The sequence below is a fragment of the Homo sapiens genome, chromosome 5 (assembly GCF_000001405.40).
Source record: "Homo sapiens chromosome 5, GRCh38.p14 Primary Assembly".
Lineage (NCBI taxonomy): Eukaryota > Metazoa > Chordata > Mammalia > Primates > Hominidae > Homo > Homo sapiens.
In genome coordinates this window covers 125475715-125497834 of record NC_000005.10, presented here as the reverse complement: position 1 = coordinate 125497834, position 22120 = coordinate 125475715, and the positions used below count along the sequence as shown (strand labels likewise).

At 36.4% G+C, this 22120-nt stretch overlaps 2 long non-coding RNA genes across 2 annotated transcripts in view; one reads left to right on the top strand and one right to left on the bottom strand.

The window, feature by feature from the left end:
• LINC02240 (long intergenic non-protein coding RNA 2240) overlaps window positions 1-4574 on the bottom strand; it is a 108967-nt gene extending 104393 nt beyond the window's left edge. The window contains exon 1 of the long non-coding RNA NR_109887.1: window positions 4500-4574. This is a non-coding gene — a long non-coding RNA (long intergenic non-protein coding RNA 2240). The remainder of the gene's footprint in view (window positions 1-4499) is intronic.
• Window positions 1-18740, top strand: part of LOC124901056 (uncharacterized) — an 891204-nt gene extending 872464 nt beyond the window's left edge. The window contains exon 9 of the long non-coding RNA XR_007058919.1: window positions 16110-18740. This is a non-coding gene — a long non-coding RNA (uncharacterized LOC124901056). The remainder of the gene's footprint in view (window positions 1-16109) is intronic.
• The last annotated feature ends 3380 nt before the right edge of the window (window positions 18741-22120 follow it).

The window sequence follows — 22120 nt, the reverse complement described above, 5'->3', positions numbered from 1 at the left end:
TGCAGAGAATGCAAGCACATGAATTGCTGGATTAGCTGGAGTTCAAACAAAGGGGAAGGAGTAAATGAGGGGAGATGCAACAAACCGTATCCCCCAAATAACTTCCAAAATTTCCCAGCTATTACCTATAATTTAAAAGTAAATTCCTCGATGGGAAGGAAGCTGTGTTTCTAAATCTGGATTGTTTTATAATAACAAAATATAGAATTACCTCTTTCTTGGTTTTTTTTTGAAAGATTTAAGACATTCAGAAAACTAAAGAGAATAACTTAACACAGACTCACTTACCTACTATCAAGATTTAACAAATGTCAAAATGTTGCCATATTTGCTTTACATTTTTCTAAAAGCAATAAAATTCTGCAGAAGCAGTTAGGCCCCTTTGGAGTCCTCCTAAGCCTGCTCTTCACCCCATTCTCTTCTCCCTCATCCCAGAGGTAACCAGAAATCCAGAGTCGGTACAAGTACTCCCCACCTAGGTGTTTATATTTTGCCAGATGTTTATAGATTTACAACACGTGGAGTTTTTCTTCATGTTTACACCTTACATAAATGATAACATGCTATATATGTTATACTACTGCATCTTATTTTTTTTTATCCAGTCTTATGTTTGGATGATTTCTCAGTTATGAAACATATACAATTGAGTTTGTTCATTTTAACAGCTATAATAAAAATCATGTTTTTTTAGTGTACATGTGCTGTGATAGGAATCATTTATAGCAGAGTTTCTCAAGCATGGCAGTGCCACCCCAGGAGCATTTGGAAAGGCAAGAAGCATTCTTTCGATGACAAAGTATTAGTTTTCTAGGGCTGCCATAACAAAGTGCTACAACTGGGGTTGATTAAAGAATAGAAATTTATTTTCTCCCAATTCTAGAGGCTAGAATTTCGAGATCAAGGTGTCTACAGGATTGGTTTCTTTCGAGGCCTCTCTCTGTGGCTGTAGAGGCTGTCTTCTCTGTGTCTTCACGTGGTCTTCCCTCTGTAATATGTCTGTGCCTGTCTCCTCCTCTTATAAGGACACCAGTCATGTTGGATCAGACCTTACCCTAATAACCTTAGTTTAACTTAATACCTCTTTAAGACCCTATTCTCCAAATACAGTCATATTCTGAGGTACTGGGGGTTACAACTTCACCATATGAATTAGGGGATAGGCACACAATGGACCCCACAACACAGGTTGCTACTGGATAGAGGGGCAGGGGCCAAGGGCCAAGAAACCTGAACATCCTGCACTGAACAAAGGCATGGTCCTGCACCCTGGAGTGTCAATAGGAAACTCCTTTAGGATGTAAACCAACAAGTAGAATTCTTGGGTTGGAAGCATTCTTCTGTTGTTCAACTTTGTTAGATACTATCAAAATACTCTTCAAATAATTGTACCAATTTAAATTCCAAAAAGCAGCATCTGGAAACTCAAATTTCCTCCATCCTTGCAAACAATTGGTGTGTTCTCACACTTTTAAAATATATGCTAACATCATGGATATGACATCATTGCTTCAGTTTTATTTGATTCCAAATGAGGTTAGATCTATCTATGCATATGAGTATATATATAGGAATCATTCTAGTTGTCTGCTCTGTGAACTACTTTTTTATAACATTTACCCATTTTTAATCTTATGTTTATTCTTTGTATTCTAGATACTGTCTTTTTGTTGCTTCTACATTTTTCAGATACCTTCTTCCAGCATGTAACTTACCTTTAACTTTGCTTCTGGTGTCGTACTGAAGAATAGTTCAATGTAGTAAAATTTATCAGTAATTTTCTTTGTGTAAGGGGTGTTTGAACCATACCTAAGGAAGCGTTCTCTATCCCAAGGTCATAAAGACATTCTCTTCTATTTCTTTCTAAAAAATTCAAAATTTTCCCTTTCAAATTTAGGTCTTTACCTAATTTTATTTTTGTTCTTGTGCAAGGTAGGAATGTATTTAATTTTTCAATATGAATAGACAATGGTCCCATCATCAATTAGTGAATATATAATAATTTTTCTATCTTTCTCAAATAATAATTTCCTAATTAAGTATGATTCTATTTCTGAGTCCTCTATTTTGACCCATTTGTCTATATGTCTATACTATCATCTGGAATGTCATAACTGCTATAACTTTTTGATATGTCTTAATGTCTCCTAGGGAAATTATCTCTCCTTATTGTTCTTCAAGATTGCCTTGGCCCTTACTCCTCCATCTGAATTTTCAAATTAGCTTGTCATGTTAATGATAAGGAGAAATACATGGGCATTTCCTTGAAGTACATTAATTTTATAGTTTGGGGAAAAAGTAGTCCTTAAACATTAAGTCTTCCCATCATGAGCATCTTATATTTTATTAATTCAGGCTTTTAAAAAGTTATGATTTTAAAATAAAATATTAAAATTTATTCATGTATTATGCATTTTTAGTTATATTTATGTATATTTATCTTAAAATATATGTTGCTATTATCAATGGTATGCTTTCTTTGATAAATTATTATATTGGGTGTTAATGGGTTCCTAAGGAGGTACTCTTGATTTTTGAATGTTGGTCCTAGATTCCAGCACAGTTACTAAATTTTCACTTTAGTTCTCACAACTCATCTTTAGAGCTTCTTTCTTTCTCTTTCTTTCTTCCTTTCCTTTCCTTTCCTTCTTTCATTTCAATAGCTTTAGGGGTACAGTGGTTTTTGGTTACATAGATGAATGGTATAGAGGAGAAGTCTGGGCTTTTAGTGTAAATAGTATACGTCGTACCCAATAAGTAATTTTTCATCTGTCACCCCTTCCCCTTCTGAGTCTCTAATGTCTGTTACACCACTCTGCATGCCTTTGCATACCCATAGCTTAGTCCTCATTTATAAATGAGAACATGCAGTGTTTGGTTTTCCATTTCTGAGTTTCTTCACTTAGGATTCTATTTCATATGTATATAATCATATCAAACAGAAATTATTAAACATTTTCTCTTTTAAATTCTTATTCCTCTTTTTCATATTTGTACCTTTGCTAGAGCTTTTGTAAAAATGTTGAATTGTGTCAACTGGTATATTTAATTTTATCTGTCTTTTAATGGGGGTGCTTTCAAGTTTAACCATTAAGTATAATGTCTGTTATAGGTTTTTAATAGAGATCCTTTAACACTTCCTAATCATAGTTTGCAAATATTTTTAAAGATTAATCACTTTTATTTTAACCCCAAAATTCTGTATATATTAAAATTATCTCATGGTTCATATCATTTAATCACTTAATGAGGTGAGTTTTATTATTGGTGCTTGAATTCTTAGGACAAACCTTCACTGGTAAAGCCATATTATTTATTGTTATTTACTATGAGATAGATTTGTTTTCCTCATATTTTATTTGCATGCATTTTCATTAGTATAATGTATCTACATTTCCTTTTCTTGTATGTCCTGTTCAGTTTTGATTTTGTTAACAACTAAGTAATATCAACTTTGCATCAAAGTTTTACTAGTTTCAGAAAATAATTTGATTAGTACAGCAGAGAGATCTACTTACTTCATAATATCTCTCTCAATCTGTATTTTTTCTTTCTTTCTTGATAGGAGATCTCTGATGATATTCCAGCATATTTTCTGCTCACTCTTACCTAGGTGTGACCATGCCATTAGCTCCAGGAGGGCTGTTGTGCTCTTATGTGAAATGCTTCTCATGACGTTATGCATGGACAATATTGAAGCGTGATATAATGGCTTTGGGTCTAGTCAAAGAGATATAAACAGAAGGGCTACAAGAGATCTCTAGGAAGGTCTCTTAAAAGAGAAAGTGTGGACTTTAAGTCTTCTCCTTTCCTTCTGTGTGTGGCACATTGGATATGATTGTTAGAGCTCCGCCAGCCATATTGAGCCATAATATGATCTTGAAAATGGAAGCCCATATACTGAAGATGGTGGTGGAAAAAGATTAGAACCTGGCTGTCTGAAGACACTGTAAAGTTGGCCTGGCATGCCAGCCATGAAAAGTGTATGTGTATTTGTACGTAATGAACTTCTATCTTGTTTAAGCTGCTGTGTCTTTAAGGTTTTTAGGCATATACAGCTGAATCTAATGCTTATTAATACTGGTAGTGTTTGTATTCCTTTTATTTTAGTCACTGAAATAATGGATTTAAAGTAAGAATGATCTATTACTTAGTTTGTTAACAATTTTCTATAAATCCTTTGGCTTTCAATATGCAGTTTGTTTCCTTCTCAGGAAAAGGGGCTCAAGGTAAATACAGAGTTACTGCTCTTCAAACTCTCATGGAGAAGTAGATCTGCATGGCCCAAGGGGTGGACTGTGGTGCTCAAGGTTGTAAGCTACTCAGATAGAAATGATCTACTTAGAAAATAATCAGTAATAAACCCATAGAATTTCAAAGTATGAAGTAGAAATAGAATTATAAAGAGACCTGAGAAATTCAGAGCCACAGCAGTAGAACTAGAATATCATTTTCTGAAGTTGGCCTCCTGCGCACCAGCCACTTTGTGCTCATCCTACCTGATCAGCATGATGTTATCGATGAAATGGCTTCATGTGATGTTCTCCAGGGCATCCATTAGAGGAGTTTCATACTGGGCAGAAATAGTCTTGCCCTAATACCTTCCCCATGCTCAGGCATTAGCTGGGTGCAGTTCAGAATGAATGGCCTTGGCATGAATCCCATGAGGGATCAGAAGATGCAACAGCTGTAGGCTAGCAGTCAATTATCTCACCTCCTCCCCTGGCAGCAAGTTCTTTTGAAGGAAAATCTGGAAGGCATAACTTCCTGACTGTCACAGAGCCTAAATTCCCTTTTGTCTGATAGTAGCAGTGGAACATCTATACATAAGTAGTGTATTACACATGGTATATTACAAATGCTATATCTGATAGTATACACGATATTAAAACTGCTATTAACACCACAACTAATTATCTGGTTATTAGATTATTGATTATCTAGATTACTTAGTGAATTATTTGATCATTATGCATGCTCTTTTTCTTACTGTTTCTTCTTCAATTCTATTTTTTCTGTTTTTAGTTTACTGTGCTGTATTCAATCTCAGTTTCCTGGAATTTTATAAACACAGCACACTTCTTCATCAGTAAATGTTAGATTTTTTTTCCCATTTTCAAGGATGTAAAAATAAAAGTTGAACAAACATTCAAATAGCAGAGTTTTTACAATCAGGCATATTCAACCCGAATTTCATAAAATAAAAAAAAAAAGTTCTCAGCAAACAATTTGCAAGTATGAAAGATAATAATAAAGAGAAAAGAGGAGGAATCATTGTGATAATAAAACATCCATATCTCACATTGTCTTTTAGTGAAAGCACAAAAAGTATTCCTGCCCATATGTGCAGAAAATGCAGGAACTACAAAAGGTACACTTCTCATCTTGTTTTGCCTCTGCCAAGACCAATTCTGAAGGGAAATAAAACAGAAACTGAAAGATAACACCAAATCTTAAAATCTTCAGAGTCTTTTAGGGACACTAATATCTATTTGTGTTGATTATGTGTATAGTGGCAGGATGTTATAGAGTACGTGGGAGTAGAAGTCAGGAGATAGGAGGGGATTTGTCAGAGAGGCAAAGTTTTAAGCTCTGCTGTTGTCTCTTTCCCGCATTGCCTTGGAATAGTCTTGGCTAGCCTCATCTTCATATAAATCAGGCTCACCTCGCCTGTGTTAGAGGAATGTTAGCAGGCTAGCACAAACAAGCTATTGGGTAAAGAGCTAAGAGAACTGGTACAGATTCACAACCCTTCAGCTCTCTGCCAAAATTTCAAATCCTGTCTTTCATTTATTTTGAAGATATTATGTGTAGATTTTAAAATTATGTATCTGTTAATGCTTTAAGAGTCCTTTTGAGTGCATTTTCATTGTCTGTAATTCTTCTTAGTTTTCATTCAAGCTGAATTATTTCTATGAGTATAGTTATTTTTATTAAATACCAGACATTGTATATGAACAATTATTTTTAATTGATTTCTCAACAAAACAACCGGCAAATCAAACCTGGAAACATAGGAAAAAATAATATATCAGGACCGAGTGGAATGTATCCCATACATTGCCAAGTAGGTTCAATGTTTTAAAATAATCAATATATTTTACTATATCAACAGGCTAAAAAAAAACTATATAATCTCAACAGAGGCATAAAAAGCATTTGACAAAATTGAATATGTTAATGATATTTAAAAAATATTTTCTCAGTCAAATATGAATTGAAGAAAACTTCTTCAACTAAAAATACATTGATTTTAAAAACATGCAGCTAACATTATACTTAAGGGCAAAATACTGAATGCTTTCCCCTTAAGATTAGTACTAGGGCAAAAAAGGCCAATGTTTTCACTTCTGTTCAATGCAGGTACTAGCTACTGCAATAAGTAAGAAAAAGAAATAAAAGGCATCTGGATTGGAAAGGAAGAAATACAACAGCCTCCATTCACAAATAACATGACAGTCTGCATTAAAAATCCTAAGGAATGTATAAAACAGCTCCTAGAACTGGTGGGTAAGTTTCAAAAGATCACTGGGGACAAAGTCAATATATAAAAATCAATTATTTTCAATATACTAGCAATGAAAAATTAGAAACAAATTAAATAAAACAGTGCCTTTTACAGTAGCATCAAAATATGAAATACTTTGTGAGAAATCTAACAAAATATACGTAAGATTTGGCTGTTATGAACTACAGAACAATTTTCATAGATTAGAAAAATCAATATTGTTAAGTAGCTAATTCTCTCCAAAAATGTTCTATAGATTTGATGTAATCCCAGTTAAAATGCCAATGCACTTTTTCATAAGAAAATCAATCAAAAAGCTAATTATAAAGCTTGAATGGAAAAAGCAAAGAAAGAATAACACTCCCCACCAAAAAATGGAAAAAATCAAAGTGGGTGAACTAATAGTACCCAACCTACTGAAACTCTACAGCAATTAAGACAGTGAGACAAAGTGAAAAGACAAAGAAAAAGATCAATGGAACAGACTAAACAAACAGTCCAGAAATAGACCCACACATATATGGTCAATGGACTTGCAACAAAGGTTCCAGGCAATTCAATAAATAAATTAGTATTTTCAGTAGGTGTTATTGGAATAATTGGACAGCTGTATGCAAATAAAACCTCAACCCATATATCACATCATGAATGAAAATTAACTGGAAGGATCACAGACTTAAAACTGTAACATTTTGAGGGGGAAAGCATAAGAAAAAACCTTAGTGGCCTTGGGTTAGGTGAAGATTTCTTAGAGCAATAAAAAGCAGAAACCATAGGAAAGTGATAAATAGGACTTCATCAAGATTAAATATTTTACTCTTTCAAAGGCTTTGAAAAGACAATGAAAAGACAAGCCATAGACTAAGACAAAATATTTTCAGAGCCTATATCTGATAAAAAAAAAAAAAAAAAACTTGTTTCAGAATATATAAAGAACTCTCACAACCAAATAGGGAAACAAACAAGCAAAACATTAAAATTATGGGCAAAAGATTTGAACACCTAAGAAGACAAACTGACAGAAAATAAGTAAATGAAAAGAAATTCAACATCATTAGTCATGAGAGAATTGAAAATTAAAACTGCAAAGAGATACCACTGCATATTTAGAATAGCTGTTTTTCTGTTTTTGTAAAGAAAAAAAAAAATCTGACCACACCAACTGCTAGCCAGTATGCAAAGCCACCAGAACTCTCATATATTATTGGTAGGAAGGCAAAATGATATACTACCACTTTGGAAAAACAGTAAACAGTTTAAATTTAAACTGTAATATGCTTCAATAATCCCACTCCTAGGAATTTACCCAGGAGAAATAAAAGTATGTGTTCACACAAAAACCTGTACAAAAACAAATTTATCAGCTTTGTTTAAAAATACCAAAAACTGGAAAGCATTTAAATATCCACAAGCTAATGAATAATAAACTGTTGTACATCCATACAATGGAATATTACTTAGTGACAAAGTAGAACAAATGATTGCTTTGTGCAAACACAGACATGAATTTCAAATGTACAATATTAAGTGAAAATACACAGATTCAAAAGGCAACAACTGCAGGATTTCATTAATACAACTTCCTAGAAAGGACAAAACCATAGTGACAAAAATTAAATCAGTAATTGCCATGGACAAGGTGTGGAGGAAGCAGATTGATCACAAAGGGACATGAGGGAACTTTGGGAGATGACAGACGTGTTCCATATCTTTATCATAGTGGCAGTTAAATTAGTGTATGCATTTGTCAAAATTTATAGAACTGTCCAATAAAAAGGGGGAATTTAACTGAATGTAAATTGTACCTCAATAAGCTTCATTTGAAAAAAATCAATCATTTAAGGACAAATGTAATTTTTTACATTTGTTTTTAGCACACAACTAGTGGCATTAGCAATCTGGAATCACTGCCGTCACTAAAATTGGATCAAAGTGACTGGAGGCTGGTGTAAGTCCCTGCGACAGCTGGGCTCCAACTACATCAGCCTTACCACACTAGGGGATGGAGGAGGGCCTTCAGAGTTCTAGCACAAAGTGTGTGGGTATCCTAACCCTTCATGATCCCTGGACTTCAATTTTTGTCCCTATCATTTTGCAAGTCAGTCACAGTTCTGCTTAGCTTCTTAGCTTCTCACTTGACTTTTAGAATTGGCAGCTGCTATTGGGAGAAACTGTCTCCAAGCACTGGGCTCACTTATCTGGGTTTCTTGTTTTTTCATTGATCTTATTCCTAAAATTCTTCACAGTTTTGTTAGCTATTAGATATCTTCAAGTAAAGATAATTATTTTAAAATGTCCAGTTTGTACATTCTCTTTTAATTATTTTTCTGCTTTTTTTCTACCCTCATCTCTACTCCAATAGTCAGTCTCCTTGTGAGAGCTAATTTACCTATTCTATCATCATGCAGCAGAGCTCTGCCTTTCTGATGTTTATTTTCCAAGGGTACTTTTTTTCTAATCAATAGAAAAGTGGATGTCCAGGGCAAGAGTTTTTGGGAGGTTTTGTTTGTTTGTTGTAATTTTTAATCCAGTAACAGCCATTCATTTACGTTCCACCGAAGAAAGCTTAGTCTTGACCATGTATCTATAAGGGAGTTTGAGTAATGCAGTTACATATGCCCAGCCTAGGAAGAATGAGACACCAACTGCCTTTGTCACATGAAGCTCCCAAACAATATGCTCAATTAATATTTCTGTTCTTGTAGTTCATGGACTCAGAGGTCTGCTCTTCATCTGAATCCTTAAGATGACAAATATTTTTTCTTGTTTTGCTGTATTTTTTTTCATTATTATTATTATTATACTTTAAGTTCTAGGGTACATGTACACAACGTGCAGGTTTTGTTACATATGTATACATGTGCCATGTTGGTGTGTTGCACCCCTTAACTCATCATTTACATTAGGTATATCTCCTAATGCTATCCCTCCCCCGTCCCCCCACCTCACAACAAGGGGGTGATGTCCCACTTCCTGTGTCCAAGTGTTCTCATTGTTCAATTACCAGCTATGAGTGAGAACATGCAATGTTTGGTTTTTTGTCCTTGCAATAGTTTGCTGAGAATGATGGTTTCCAGCTTCATCCATGTCCCTGCAAAGGACATGAACTCATCCTTTTTTATGGCTGCATAGTATTCCATGGTGTATATGTGCTACATTTTCTTAATCCAGTCTATCATTGTTGGACATTTGGGTTGGTTCCAGGTCTTTGTTATTGTGAATAGTGCCACAATAAACATACATGTGCATGTGTCTTTATAGCAGCATGATTTATAATCCTTTGGGTATATACCCAGTAATGGGATGGCTGGTCAAATGGTATTTCTAGCTCTAGATCCCTGGGGAATCGCCACACTGTCTTCCACAATAGTTGAACCGGTTTACAGTCCCACCAACAGTGTCAAAGTGTTCCTATTTCTCCACATCCTCTCCAGCACCTGTTGTTTCCTGACTTTTTAATGATCGCCATTCTAACTGGTGTGAGATGGTATCTCATTGTGGTTTTGATTTGCATGTCTCTGATGATTACTTCACGATTAATTTTAATAATGTGTCTTACAATAAAGAAATATCTATCTGGGCTTACCCTTTGGACATCTTCATGGCTTCTGGCCTATTCATCCTCCTCCTACAGAGAAGATCATGTTTAACTCCTAATCCAATTCCCAGGGTTTATCAAATTTTGTCTACTGCCATCCTGCTGGCCTGAGGTGAATTCTTTGCTTGGTCCTGACCCTGCATTTGCTTTGCGTTTTAATTCTTGAATGTTCAACACCACCTCCCAAAGCAACCCACTGACTCTCTGCTTGGATTTCTGCGAGTTTTAGTGGACAATCTCTTTCTGTTCACAGACAGAAATCACAGATGTTGTGAAAGGAAGGAGGAGACAGTATTGTGCTGCTTTGGAATGAAACTCCCTCAGTCCTGAGAACAGCTGCCTAACTGGCTTTAGTAAGGACAATTTACTGAACCAGGGGTAAAGCAGTAGGGAAGAAGCAAAGGTTTTCAAACCATTTTGGAGTGGACTGATCTCCACAGTTTCTAATTATATGGAACCTGGAAGTCATTTTTAGTTTTTGTCGTTTTAATTCTAAGATAATTGAAAGCTCCTTCATTGTTATTATTAGTTAACTTCGAGTCTAGTTTTGGTGCAACACGAGAATTCAACTTTTCTGAGTTTTTAAGTAATATTTTAGTGGTAAAATTGGGATAATGACTATTTTCTTCACTCTGTTTTAAATCAGAATATTTTTATGTTTGGCCATATTTTACATGTTTTTTTTTTCATCACTTAATTTTGAATTATCTTTTGAAATTTTTTTCCAACTCTTCAACTTTCTCTATCCAGTTTAAGATCACTATATTTAATACTCCCTAATGTCTATAGTACTTGGATAAGCAAGATAAATAAAATCAAGGGCATAGCATTGGAATGTGAATTGCATTATGCATTGAGAATGATTCAGGATCTGACAAGCCAGATGAATACTAAAGCAGCAACAGAAATACTTTCCACTGGTATGTTCACAAATTCAGAAGACCACATCACATGCACCGAAGGCCACATTTTATGCCAGTCTGTTAAACTCTAAATGCAAGCTTTTAACATAAAAATGAAACAGGGAGTTACATGACTATGTAACCATATAATTTCTTCTTTTGTGTGGGTGCTTTTGTTTTTGTTTTGCGTTTAACCCAGTGAGTTATTACTAGTTTAATACCTTCTGTTGGGATAAAAGAAACAAAAAGGAGAAAGGACAGGTTAGCCTCTTAACACAGTCCCCAAAAAAGGACAAAAATGGAGCATCTTTCATCTTTCATGGTTATTATTTGTGAGACTATAATTAGATCCTCCAGAATAATCATTATAATTCATATACTACATATAAGTCACTCACTCTTTTATGACATAAAACATAATGGTCCTTTCTATATCTATGTAAATAAACCTCCCCCACCCTGTATCTTTAAGAATCAGTGTGACATAGCTCCAAAATTAGATACTCCATTAAATTGATGAGTAAATAAATTATAAAGATCAGCAATCCTTTCTAATTTATATGCTACTTAAAGGTGTTATAATGCAAAACTTGCTTGTAACATTTCCAGGCATTCCACTCATCTAAATTAAATACAATGCACATATTTGATGGATAGATTTGCTATTTATATTTATATATCAATGACTGCTTCCTTTACAAATGGCTAAACCACCCTCAAGTAAAGCAAACACAGAAAATGCATGATTATTCCACATTTTCAGCGAACCTATGGATGCATTTGATTTTATACACATTGGCAGAGTGCAGCCCTTATGTCTTGGAATAGGAAATTCACAAGCCGCCAAAGAGGAAGAGACAGCTCTCATTTTTTGTCTTTAAATACACTCTGTGTCTTTTCTTTGCGATTCATCCAGGCTTTTGCTTCTTATTTGTATTTTGTTTGTTCCTCTGTGAGTTGGAGGTTTTGTTTTTGTTTTCAATACTAAAGGGATGTCCATAAAAGGTCATATTACCATTGAAAATACTTAAGCTCTGTTTTTCCCCTTTCAGAACAATATATCACTTCATTTGCCTAAATTCACTCAGCTTTTGTGGGTTTTCACATGTGTTACTTGAGAATGTTGGCAGATCTGGAATTTTATGAGGAGAACTGCCCTAGAGGTTGCTTTTTTTCAAATCTTATGGAGAAGTTTCTCTCCACAGCTCTCCAGGCTCAGGTCACAAGCTTTCTTTGCAGCATGTCAGGAGGCAATTAGAGCATTTGTTCAGGCTGGAATGCCCTCTTCTCTCAGAGGCTGCTCTTACTGAATTTGTTGGGCTTTTAATGTAATGTTGAAATCTGTTCCTGCTTGACTCCTACAGCTGGTTTTGATCAGGCTCCTCTAAAGAGGAAGTTTCAATTAGCACAGCTCCAAATGTGCTCGGGAGGTATATTTTATGACTACTCAACTAACAGCACTCTTTGTTCCTAGTGGTGTGTGACTCCTTAACAAACACAGCCATTCGTGTGAGTCACGGAGTGACTTTATAGCAAGGCTAGGCTTTGCCAAAACCAGAAGAATGAGACAGCCAAATTGAATTAGTGGTTGAAACACATTAATTTATGCTAGATAAATGTTATTGTGGTCCCGTGGGCAAGTACTCAGGTCATAGGCTTTATGAACTATTTGCAGCAAGAGGGCTTGGTGGCAGTAAATCAGCTCTAGAGCAGGACTTTGCAGAGGACTTACAGCCACTTACTCTCCTGTTTCCTTAAATTGCCTCTGCCATTTTCCCCTCCTTCCACTGAGATAGCTCACCATTTCGTACACAGTTTGTGATATTTAACATATAAGCAGTTGGATTAATGATTTGTGTAGGCTTCGCTTGACTCTGGTTGAGATGTGGCCATCTATTATGCCTGTGGCCCTCGCCACAGGCAGCTGTGTGTTTATCATTCCAGACTACAGATCTCAGTGGGTACAGAGCTCTGGCTCAGCACCAGCTTTCGGAGTCCGTGCAGCTGTGCCGTAAATGGAAACCTTGATGCCTCAAACACAGCACACACAACCAAGTCCTGACAAGGCTGTTTCTCTTCTGGGAAGGAATTAGATCCACTTAAGGCTGGATTATTTCTAGAGTAAGAAAAGTAGAAATAAGTGTTTTCTGGCTGCAAATTGTGGCAAGTGAGAGATGATGCCAAGAAAGAATTATGCATAAATGATAGTGTTTAAACTTGTTTTTATGTGTTTAAATGTGTATCTGCCAAAAATCTGACAAGGCCTTCCTGTTGGCATTTTTTCAGAGAGAGACCACTCACACACCAAGCATTTTCTTAATAAAGAAATAATTGTAAATCACTAGCGTCTAGGCAGGTGATAACCAGTTGACCTTAAACATGATCTCTTGCAAAACCCGGGGAAAACAACGGGCTGGGTAAAGAGTGATGAATCACTGCCTCCCTCCCTCCAAACCACCAAAAATGCCAGAGCATCAGTCAAGTCCCTGGAAATTTAGTGCCATGAATAAGGGGCTAAGCTTCAGACTTACTTCTAGGTTTAAACACTCATGGAACCCTTCTTGGCTTGGCAATCTTGAGCAAATGGCTACTCTCTGTCTGTGTCCTCACATATGAAATGGAGATAGTGGTAATATCTACTTTTGCAGGGCTCTTTTTAAGATTAAAGAAGTTCATGAACGTAAGCCATTAACAAAGGGAATGAGGAACAAGGTTAGCCCTCAACAAACAATAGCTTGCGTTAATTATTGGTATTGCTGTTGTTACTGCTGTGGATCCAAAAGAAGGCCTTCTTTACCTTTTATTTTAATTCCCCAGTGGCTAGTGGAAGGAGCTGCTGGTGCAGTAGAGGTTACCTTTTCCTGGTATAATCTCTCCTTGTAGATGGAAGAATACCCAAGAGCCACTCACCATATTCTGTTCAGCCCGTTGACCTTGACCTGCCTAACCCTTTAGGCTTACACTGCTCTGATGTTTGCTTTTTATGTTTGAAGACAGCTGCTATGACATTTATCATAAATATTTAGCATACAGCAGAAAGGCTTGACACATGTCAGGTTCTCATCACATTTCTCCTGAATTCAATTTTGTGTTAATGAATGCCTATGTATGTGCTTAAAGCTCTATGTTTAGACTTTGGGATAAAACTTCCCCCAAATTCAGCACAATTTCCTAAGATTAGATAAATGATATCTTTTCCAGATTTAGAAAAAAAATGCTGTGTACCCTTTAATCCTGGAAAAACAAAAAGGAAAATAAATACAATCTAGCCTCGGGCCCTTTAAGTTTTCTGAATTAGTTGAATCCTACGTATGTTGCTCCAGCTCAGTTCTCAACTAAAACCCATTAAACTGTTCGGATTTAATGTATCTGTTGCTATGCATTCATTACCTGGTTACTTGGTTGATTTAAATTTTTAAAAAACACACAAATTTAGTCAAAACTTTTTAATCCATCTATGTGTATAAGCACATTAAAATATGTTTTTGTTCTGCTTCCCATTTTAAATTAGAGTTCCTTAAGAGCAGGTCCTGTGTCTTCTCAAACTCCAAAAAGTGTCTATAGCACCTTTTACAACATGTACCTACTGAATGTTAAATACAAAATGATATATGTGGCTTAATTTCCCATGGTCAATTTTACCTTCTAAGTCTCAAGCAGAATTTCTTATCCCATGGATTTTTTACTGAGTTACTAAGAAAAAATAAGTATAAAGAATGTCTCGTCTTCAATATTAAAAGCTCCACGAGAGCAAGGACTCTGTCTCCTTAGTTCTTCCTCCCTAGTTCATCCGAGTGCCTAAAATAGTCCTCTGGCACACATGCCCTGAAATATTTGTTGAAATAATTATTTTATTTTATTTATTTTTATTTATTTATTTATTTAGTTTGAGACGGAGTCTCCCGCCTGTCACCCAGGCTGGAGTGCAGTGGCATGATCTTGGCTCACTGCAACCTCTGCTTCCCAGGTTCAAGCGATTCTCCTGCCTCAGCCTCCCAAGTAGCTGGGACTACAGGTGTGTGCCAGCACGCCCAGCTAATTTTTGTATTTTTAGTAGAGACGAGGTTTCACGATATTAGCCAGGCTGGTCTCAAACTCCTGACCTTGTGATCTGCCCACCTCAGCTTCCCAAAGTGCTAGGATTACTGGCGTGAGCCACCGCACCTGGCCGAAATAATGGTTGAGTTAACAAAAAGTGGCTGAACAATAAATTAACTCTTATTTCTTCTTTGTGTTTTTTACTTCCTTCAAGTCACGTTTTCTGCTTATTTTTTTTCTCTACTTATTAACCTTGTAGTTTTTATTACTGAAATTACCTTCTCAAGGATCAATTTTCATGGAAAAAAGTAGAACTGATAGTATTAAAACAGTTTTATAGTAAACAAATGGTGAAATTTGCTTAACAAGTTGTCTTATGCCAAGGCTACTGGTTTTTAAACCACCACCAATAAATGTGTTTTTCTCTGGCACTTTCTGAGTAGCTCAAAATGCTAAGACGAATCCCTGGTATATTAACAGACTGGAGTCAAGTGTGTGACATGATGAAGAGCATCTGTCTCGGGCCAGGAGTCATGGGGGTTCATAAGCTTTCCATGAAGATGGCTCATCAATAAAAGTTCTATGCTTAGGATTTTGTACATTTTGTTAATTAGGGCAAAGCAATAGGCCTTTGTGGCAATTACTCAGACAGTGATGTAAAAAGATAGCCTGACAAACAAACCTCCATAATCCACTTACATCTCACAGAAGCCAAAGGGTTGGAAAAGCCTATTAGCAAGCTCTCTGCCTGTCTGTTTGGAGATGTTGTTAAATGGAGAGTCTGCTCAGCACCTGAGGCAGTCTGTTAATAAAGATCGTTTGTAGCAGATTTCTGTTCTATTAAGAATGGACGTAAAACAGCATAATTTAAAACATGTCAATAACTCAAGGCAAAAATGCCAAACATAGTCTGTTCTGTCTTTATAAAATGGAGCCAAGTATACACAAGGAAGCTGCCAGGAAGGCTTCTGTTGACTGCGTTTTGAGATTGTTCATGATGAATAATGTGATCCTTCAAGTTAAAACAACCTCGTGAATGGGTATCTCTGTGTCTTTTCTGCAGTAAACTCAAGGGATCTTTTCTATTTACGGGCCAATGAGATTTCTAACCTCCAGTCCTAGAAGATGCCTTCAAGCCTGTGCCCTTTGTCAGCTTCATGAATTCACAATAGTTTGTGAGTGTTTCATTGTTGTTGTTGTTTTCTCTTATTCTTTCTGTCCTTCTCCTGAGTGGCATTTATGGGCTTTTTGGGAACAGATCTTTATAGACATAAGGCTAGAGTTAGGATGTCTTGGGAAGATTCACTAAAAAATGTAAAACCACCAACACAGTGCCACCCTTTGTTTCACGTATTTGATCAAATAAGCTAGTCTGTTTTCAATGACCGTGCTGTATTTTTAACAAAAAAACAACGACCAAAAAGTCAATATTCCTATAGTGTTTATCTGGCACTTACCATATTATGAGGGCAAAGGCAGATGGATAGCGTTCTAAATGAGTACTTCAGGAGGATGAGAGGAGGGCTTGGAGGAATGACAGTCCATCACTGCAGATGTGTACTAAACCCTGCCATGTTTAACAGGCCTGTAGATTAAAATTTAACATGCTGCGTCTCCCACATCAGGTTAGGTGGATGGTTGAGCCGGAGTGATATTATCGGCTCTATTAGAAGGCCTCTCATGAACCGAGTGGTGGTTTTAATTAAATCCAGTAGGTTGAGAGAAGTGGTTTGGCAGTTTCAATTGATTTATTGTGTTTATGACATCTGGGCCTGATTTATTGTATTATTAACACACAGAATTGTTTTTGGACACTCACCCTACATATTTTCATTCTGGTTTGGGGGACTCATAGCCTATAAGTATGTAGCATTTTCATTCTACTATGATTTTAGTTTTCTGTTTGTCTCTTTTTGTTTTTCTTATATTGGTAGGGTGGTGAACTGTTGAATTCGTTTTGTAGAGTCTCTGTGGGTTTGTGTGCCTGAACAGGTCTGCTTGAACAGTAGTACTGGGTTGGAGTTGATTATCATTATCTGACCTAAGTTCATGGAGCGACAAAGTGAGAGAGATTGACAGTTTTTTAATGTAGTTTATGAATTGCCAAACTATTTGCTCCATGTTATGGTTTTCTAAATTTTTTAAGTTTGGGCCTTGGATATAAATATGAATACCATGTCATAGAACGTTTGTTTCCAATTATCTGAAAGTGGTGAGCATATTCAGCTGGACGTTATAGACAAGTGTTGCCCAGTCCAAATTTTATAGCAGTCAAGTACATTTTAGAAAGTATCCACTTCAAACTCCACAAAGCATGTGTAAAAAGAGAGAAAAGGGAAGAATTAAGCTACAATTTCTGCCATACAGGAAGGGCAGAGAAGTAAGCAGGTCCCAATCAACCTACATGTCTTGTTAATCTATGACTGAGTGGTTGCCCATTCCAGTTATAGATGCTATGATAACTCATCGGGCTCCCAGCTTCCTGGCTTTCTATTCCCTGCAGCTGGGGCCACCTAGCCCCTACCTGAATCCCCAGCCAGGGTTCTGGACCAGATCAGGATGAATTTAAGAATGGCTAGGTAAATATCTTAGGCAAATCAACTTCAAGTCAGCCTGTGGTTTAGCTCACTTTGACCTTCTGCCTTAGTATTAGAATTTAGATTTTGCCATTGTTCTTGGTAGTCAGCCTCTACGTGGTATTTAATCCACTAAGAAATGACTTCCTACTTTTTATTATTGCAGCCATTTCTCTATCTCAGTAAACTATCTTGTTAGTCTTAGATTTCTTTCCTAAATACCCACAGTACTGCTTTGAACTCAAGTTTGGGACATATAACACAACTACTTGTCTATCTGGGTATCTGCCTATTACCTGTGGCCAGAATCCACTGATGACCACCTCCTGTGCAGATGTGTGCCTATGAATTACATGTTGGTCTACCATCCAATGCAGTCTGCCCCATTAAACTAGGCTTACTCTGCTATGTAAGTGTTTATACATCCTAATACACAGAAATATCAACATTCTTCTCTTTGAAACAATGATTTTGCCCTCATTTCCCTTTGTGGCATTATCAGATTAAATAGGGAATGATTTCTCATCACCATGCTACATAACTATTTAGGGTTAATTTTAAAACTTTATTCTCTGTAGTACTCAAATTGCTTTGGAAAACTATGAACTTGTTTGATTTTGGGGGGTCTGTTAAATGGAATCCTCCCAATTGGGTGAGATGGGATATGTGAAAGGAAGCTTAATCATAAAAGGCACTTACGGAATCCCTACCTGTATTTAACATAGACATGAAACTTAGCTGAGCATAAAATCTGCTTGGAAAACCTCATTCATGTTGAACTTAAGTAGGAAATCATACCAAATTACTTTTCTAAAAACAGCTTTACTGAGATATAACTTACATATCATTAAATCCAATCATTTTAAGTATACAACTCGATGGCTTTTTAGTACATTTTTACAAAATTGAGCAAATCTTACCAGAGTCCAAGTTCAAAACGTTTTCTCACCCCCAAAATAGCCTCATCTCAAAGAGATCATTAGTTATGGTTTTAGATGGTGAATTACCTTCAATTAGGGTAATCATGTAATATATTCTGTATATAAGTTAGAGAAAAAATATAAAGAATGTTTTATGTTTGAATTGCATATTGAGTGCTCACATGGGTGGCCAATTTAGATGAGCTGATTGACCTGATCCCTCTTGGGATCCCAGGGGGGTCAGACTCTGCAAGGCAACATACCCTTCATACAGAAAAGTATTTTGAAACCATTTTGAAAATAACTTATTTTAAAGTAGAATAAATCTATGTGTGAGTAAAAGTATGTCATATATTATATTAAACAGAACTGTGACTTCTGTGCCAAGTTCAGATGATGAACACTTCCTCATTATAGAATGTCATCAATCTGGTTTAACTGTGCTATAGACTGCCAACTCCTGTACCTGTAAGGTAAACATTCAAGATTTCTGGAGCTGCATTTCCCCAACCCTGTGAGTGGTGTGCAAATAGGCATTACTACTTAAACTCCGCCTCCTGTCAGATCAGTGGTGGCATTAGATTCTCATAGGAGCACAAACCCTATTGTGAGCTGCGCGTGTGAAGGATCTAGGTTGTGCGCTCTTTATGGGAATCTAATGCCTGGTGATCTGAGGTGCAACAGTTTCTTGTGGAAACCATACCCCACTCCAGTCCATGGGAAAAAAAAATGTCTTTCACGAAACTGGTCCCTGCTGCCAAAAAGGTTGGGGACTGCTGTCCTAATAGACTGCAAAGAGCTGGCCTTCAAAATATAGCAGAAAGAGAAGCTGGGGCCAGGTGCGGTAGCTCATGCCTGTAAGCCCAACACTTTGGGAGGCCAAGGTGGGTGGATCACCTGAGGTCAGGAGTTCAAGACCTGCCTGGCCAACATGGTGAAACCTCGTTTCTACTAAAAATACAAACATTAGCCGGGCATGGTGGCAGGCACCTGTAATCCCAGCTACTCAGGAGGCCGAGGCAAGAGAATTGCTTGAACCCGGGAGGCGAAGGTTGCAGTGAGCCAAGATCACACCATTGCACTCCAGCCTGGGGGACAAGAGCAAGACTTCGTCTCAAAAAAAAAAAAAAAAAAAATGACACCAAAGAAATAGCAGTGATAACAGTGATCAGGAGAAGGAGTTTGGTTTGGCAGACTCTGTAATCTAGTTTACAAGGGTTTTTCAAGCATTTTTCTTTGTATGAACAAGACTGTATTGGACCATAGAGAGAAATGTGTAGTTAGATGTTTATGTTGAAGGGTTTACAATCTAGCCGAAGAAAAAAAGTGTGCTTCCTTGAACAAGTTTGAGAGTCAATTCTTACTTCAGGCAGTTCTTTCCTTTTAAAAAACCTGTGGTAGTAATTGTATATAAACAATATTTAATAAGATGGACATTTGGTGATGTCTGATAAGTGTGGTATGAAAAAAAGCTACCCAGCTCAACTACCTCTTTCCTTTCTGCTTCACCTCCCACGGAAATCCTCCATTGCCTGGAGGGAGACAGAAAGTTTTTCATTATTGAGTTGATCAGATAAGTACCAATACCCTTATTTTTACTGGGTTAATACTGGCTTTTCAGAAGAAGAGAAAAGAAGAAATGGAGGAGCTCAATGAGGGTGACAACTGAATGCCCCTGAAACAATTCTCAATTTTTCCTAAAAAAATGCTCATCTTTTTACTCAGGTATATACATTTTCTAAGGAAAAGACCATGTTTTTGCAGTCTTGATAAAATTCCATCACCTTATGTTTTAAATGCATGCTTATTTCTACAGCTAGTCAAGACAAATTAGCAGCATATCCCCTCTCCATTCTCTTTGTATTAGTCATTGGTTGGTTATGTGCTGACATCCCAGTACATTACTATCACAGAAATTGGTTTTCCTCCTATCTTATCCAAACACTAAAACATTTGTTTTAAAAATGACAAATAATATCTATAGAGCTGCAGATGTAAGGGTCATATACTATAGGGGACATGATTTATCTACAGTTTTTGGCCTTGTGGACCATGATATTTTATATGCAAAATCTGAGTGATGAGGTCTGTACAATCTCAAATTTTATCTCCGTGGGAGTAAAAGTATGGCTCTTTTAGGTGGAGTACCTGCCTAAATTCTTATTAGTGATGTAAGTGGGCAAGAGCCTGTCTTATCTTGAGTTTTGTTTCCACATGTCATCTCAGGTTCAGCAGGCAAATATTTTGAGGAGGGTATGCTCTTAATGAAAGTCCTCGATAGACTTTTTCCTTTGATGAAGTATGCCTGCCGCCACCACCTGCCCACACTTTATTGTTCCAGTTTTCTCTCTTCAGCTGAAATCCAAAATACTTTTGAATGGTGCATCAGTAATGGAAGAAATAACTGACGCAAATTTACTTTATCCATTTTTTAGCACATTCCAATGTAATGATCTTGTTTTAAATTAAAGAGGAAAAATAAGTATCAGGGCAATTGAGAAGGAATTTAAACTTAGACATGGTTCAAGTATATTTACAATTTAACTATTATGCAACTGTCACTTCATTTCAGGTTGTTTTTTTCCTTAAGACTTTCGTTTAACTTGCAAAGGATAATAAATCTTAATTCAAAAACTTGTCAAGAAATATGTCAAATTTTTTGGGGGGATGGGGATATCTTTTCAACCCACTGACCCCATCCATGATAGTATAATGAGATTGCTGCTCCTAAAAGCTTGTTCCTAAACAGAATTTAACTGACTTGTTCATAACTAGAGTTATTCCAGTTTGGTTTTAGATAAATTTATTATGTACGTTCTTGGACAACACTTGACCAGGCAGGTTAGGGAATAACTAACTGCTTGAGAATAGAAATTACAAGATGCTAGGAAGAGAAAATTCCTTTCAGAGAGGTAATTTTTATAAACTTTTTCACCCTGGAGGTATTTGGTTTTTTAACCCTTCCAACCACTTTCTTCCAGGTCATTATTTTACTTCTAGTTTTGTTGTTTTCCCTTCTAATTGTTATTGTATTCAATTGCCATTATTCTAATAATTCTTGTAAAAATTCACCATTCTACTTACTTTCTGCTTGTTTTTTCTAGTCTGTTGAAGAAAGTTATTCATCATAAGAAGACTAGGTGCTCCTTAACTGGCCTTCTGAGTGTCTTTACTGGTGGTTGAAATCTTTTATTCTTTCAGCCTGACATGTACCTTTCTTGCTTTATGTTTAAATCTTCCCTATAGCAATCTGCCAAGTAGGTTTCCCCGGCATGTGGCAAGAATCGGAACCCAATCATTTCTGAGATCACTCTCTATTTATAGACAGGAAGGATTGCTAGGAAGTTCTTTCTTGGGATGCAGTATAATATGTGCCCTGTATCTTCTGTCAACAGATCCTACTGCTGTGCTGAGAATCATACAGAACATAAGCTTCAAACTCAGTCATCAGCCCATTATTGAGAAGACTTGTGCTAGAGCCAGACTTCCTTTCCAGCTCAAATGCCTCTTTTCACCTTATCTAGTTTCCTAAAATCTAAAGATGATCTCATCTTTAGATGAGATCTAAAGATGCACTT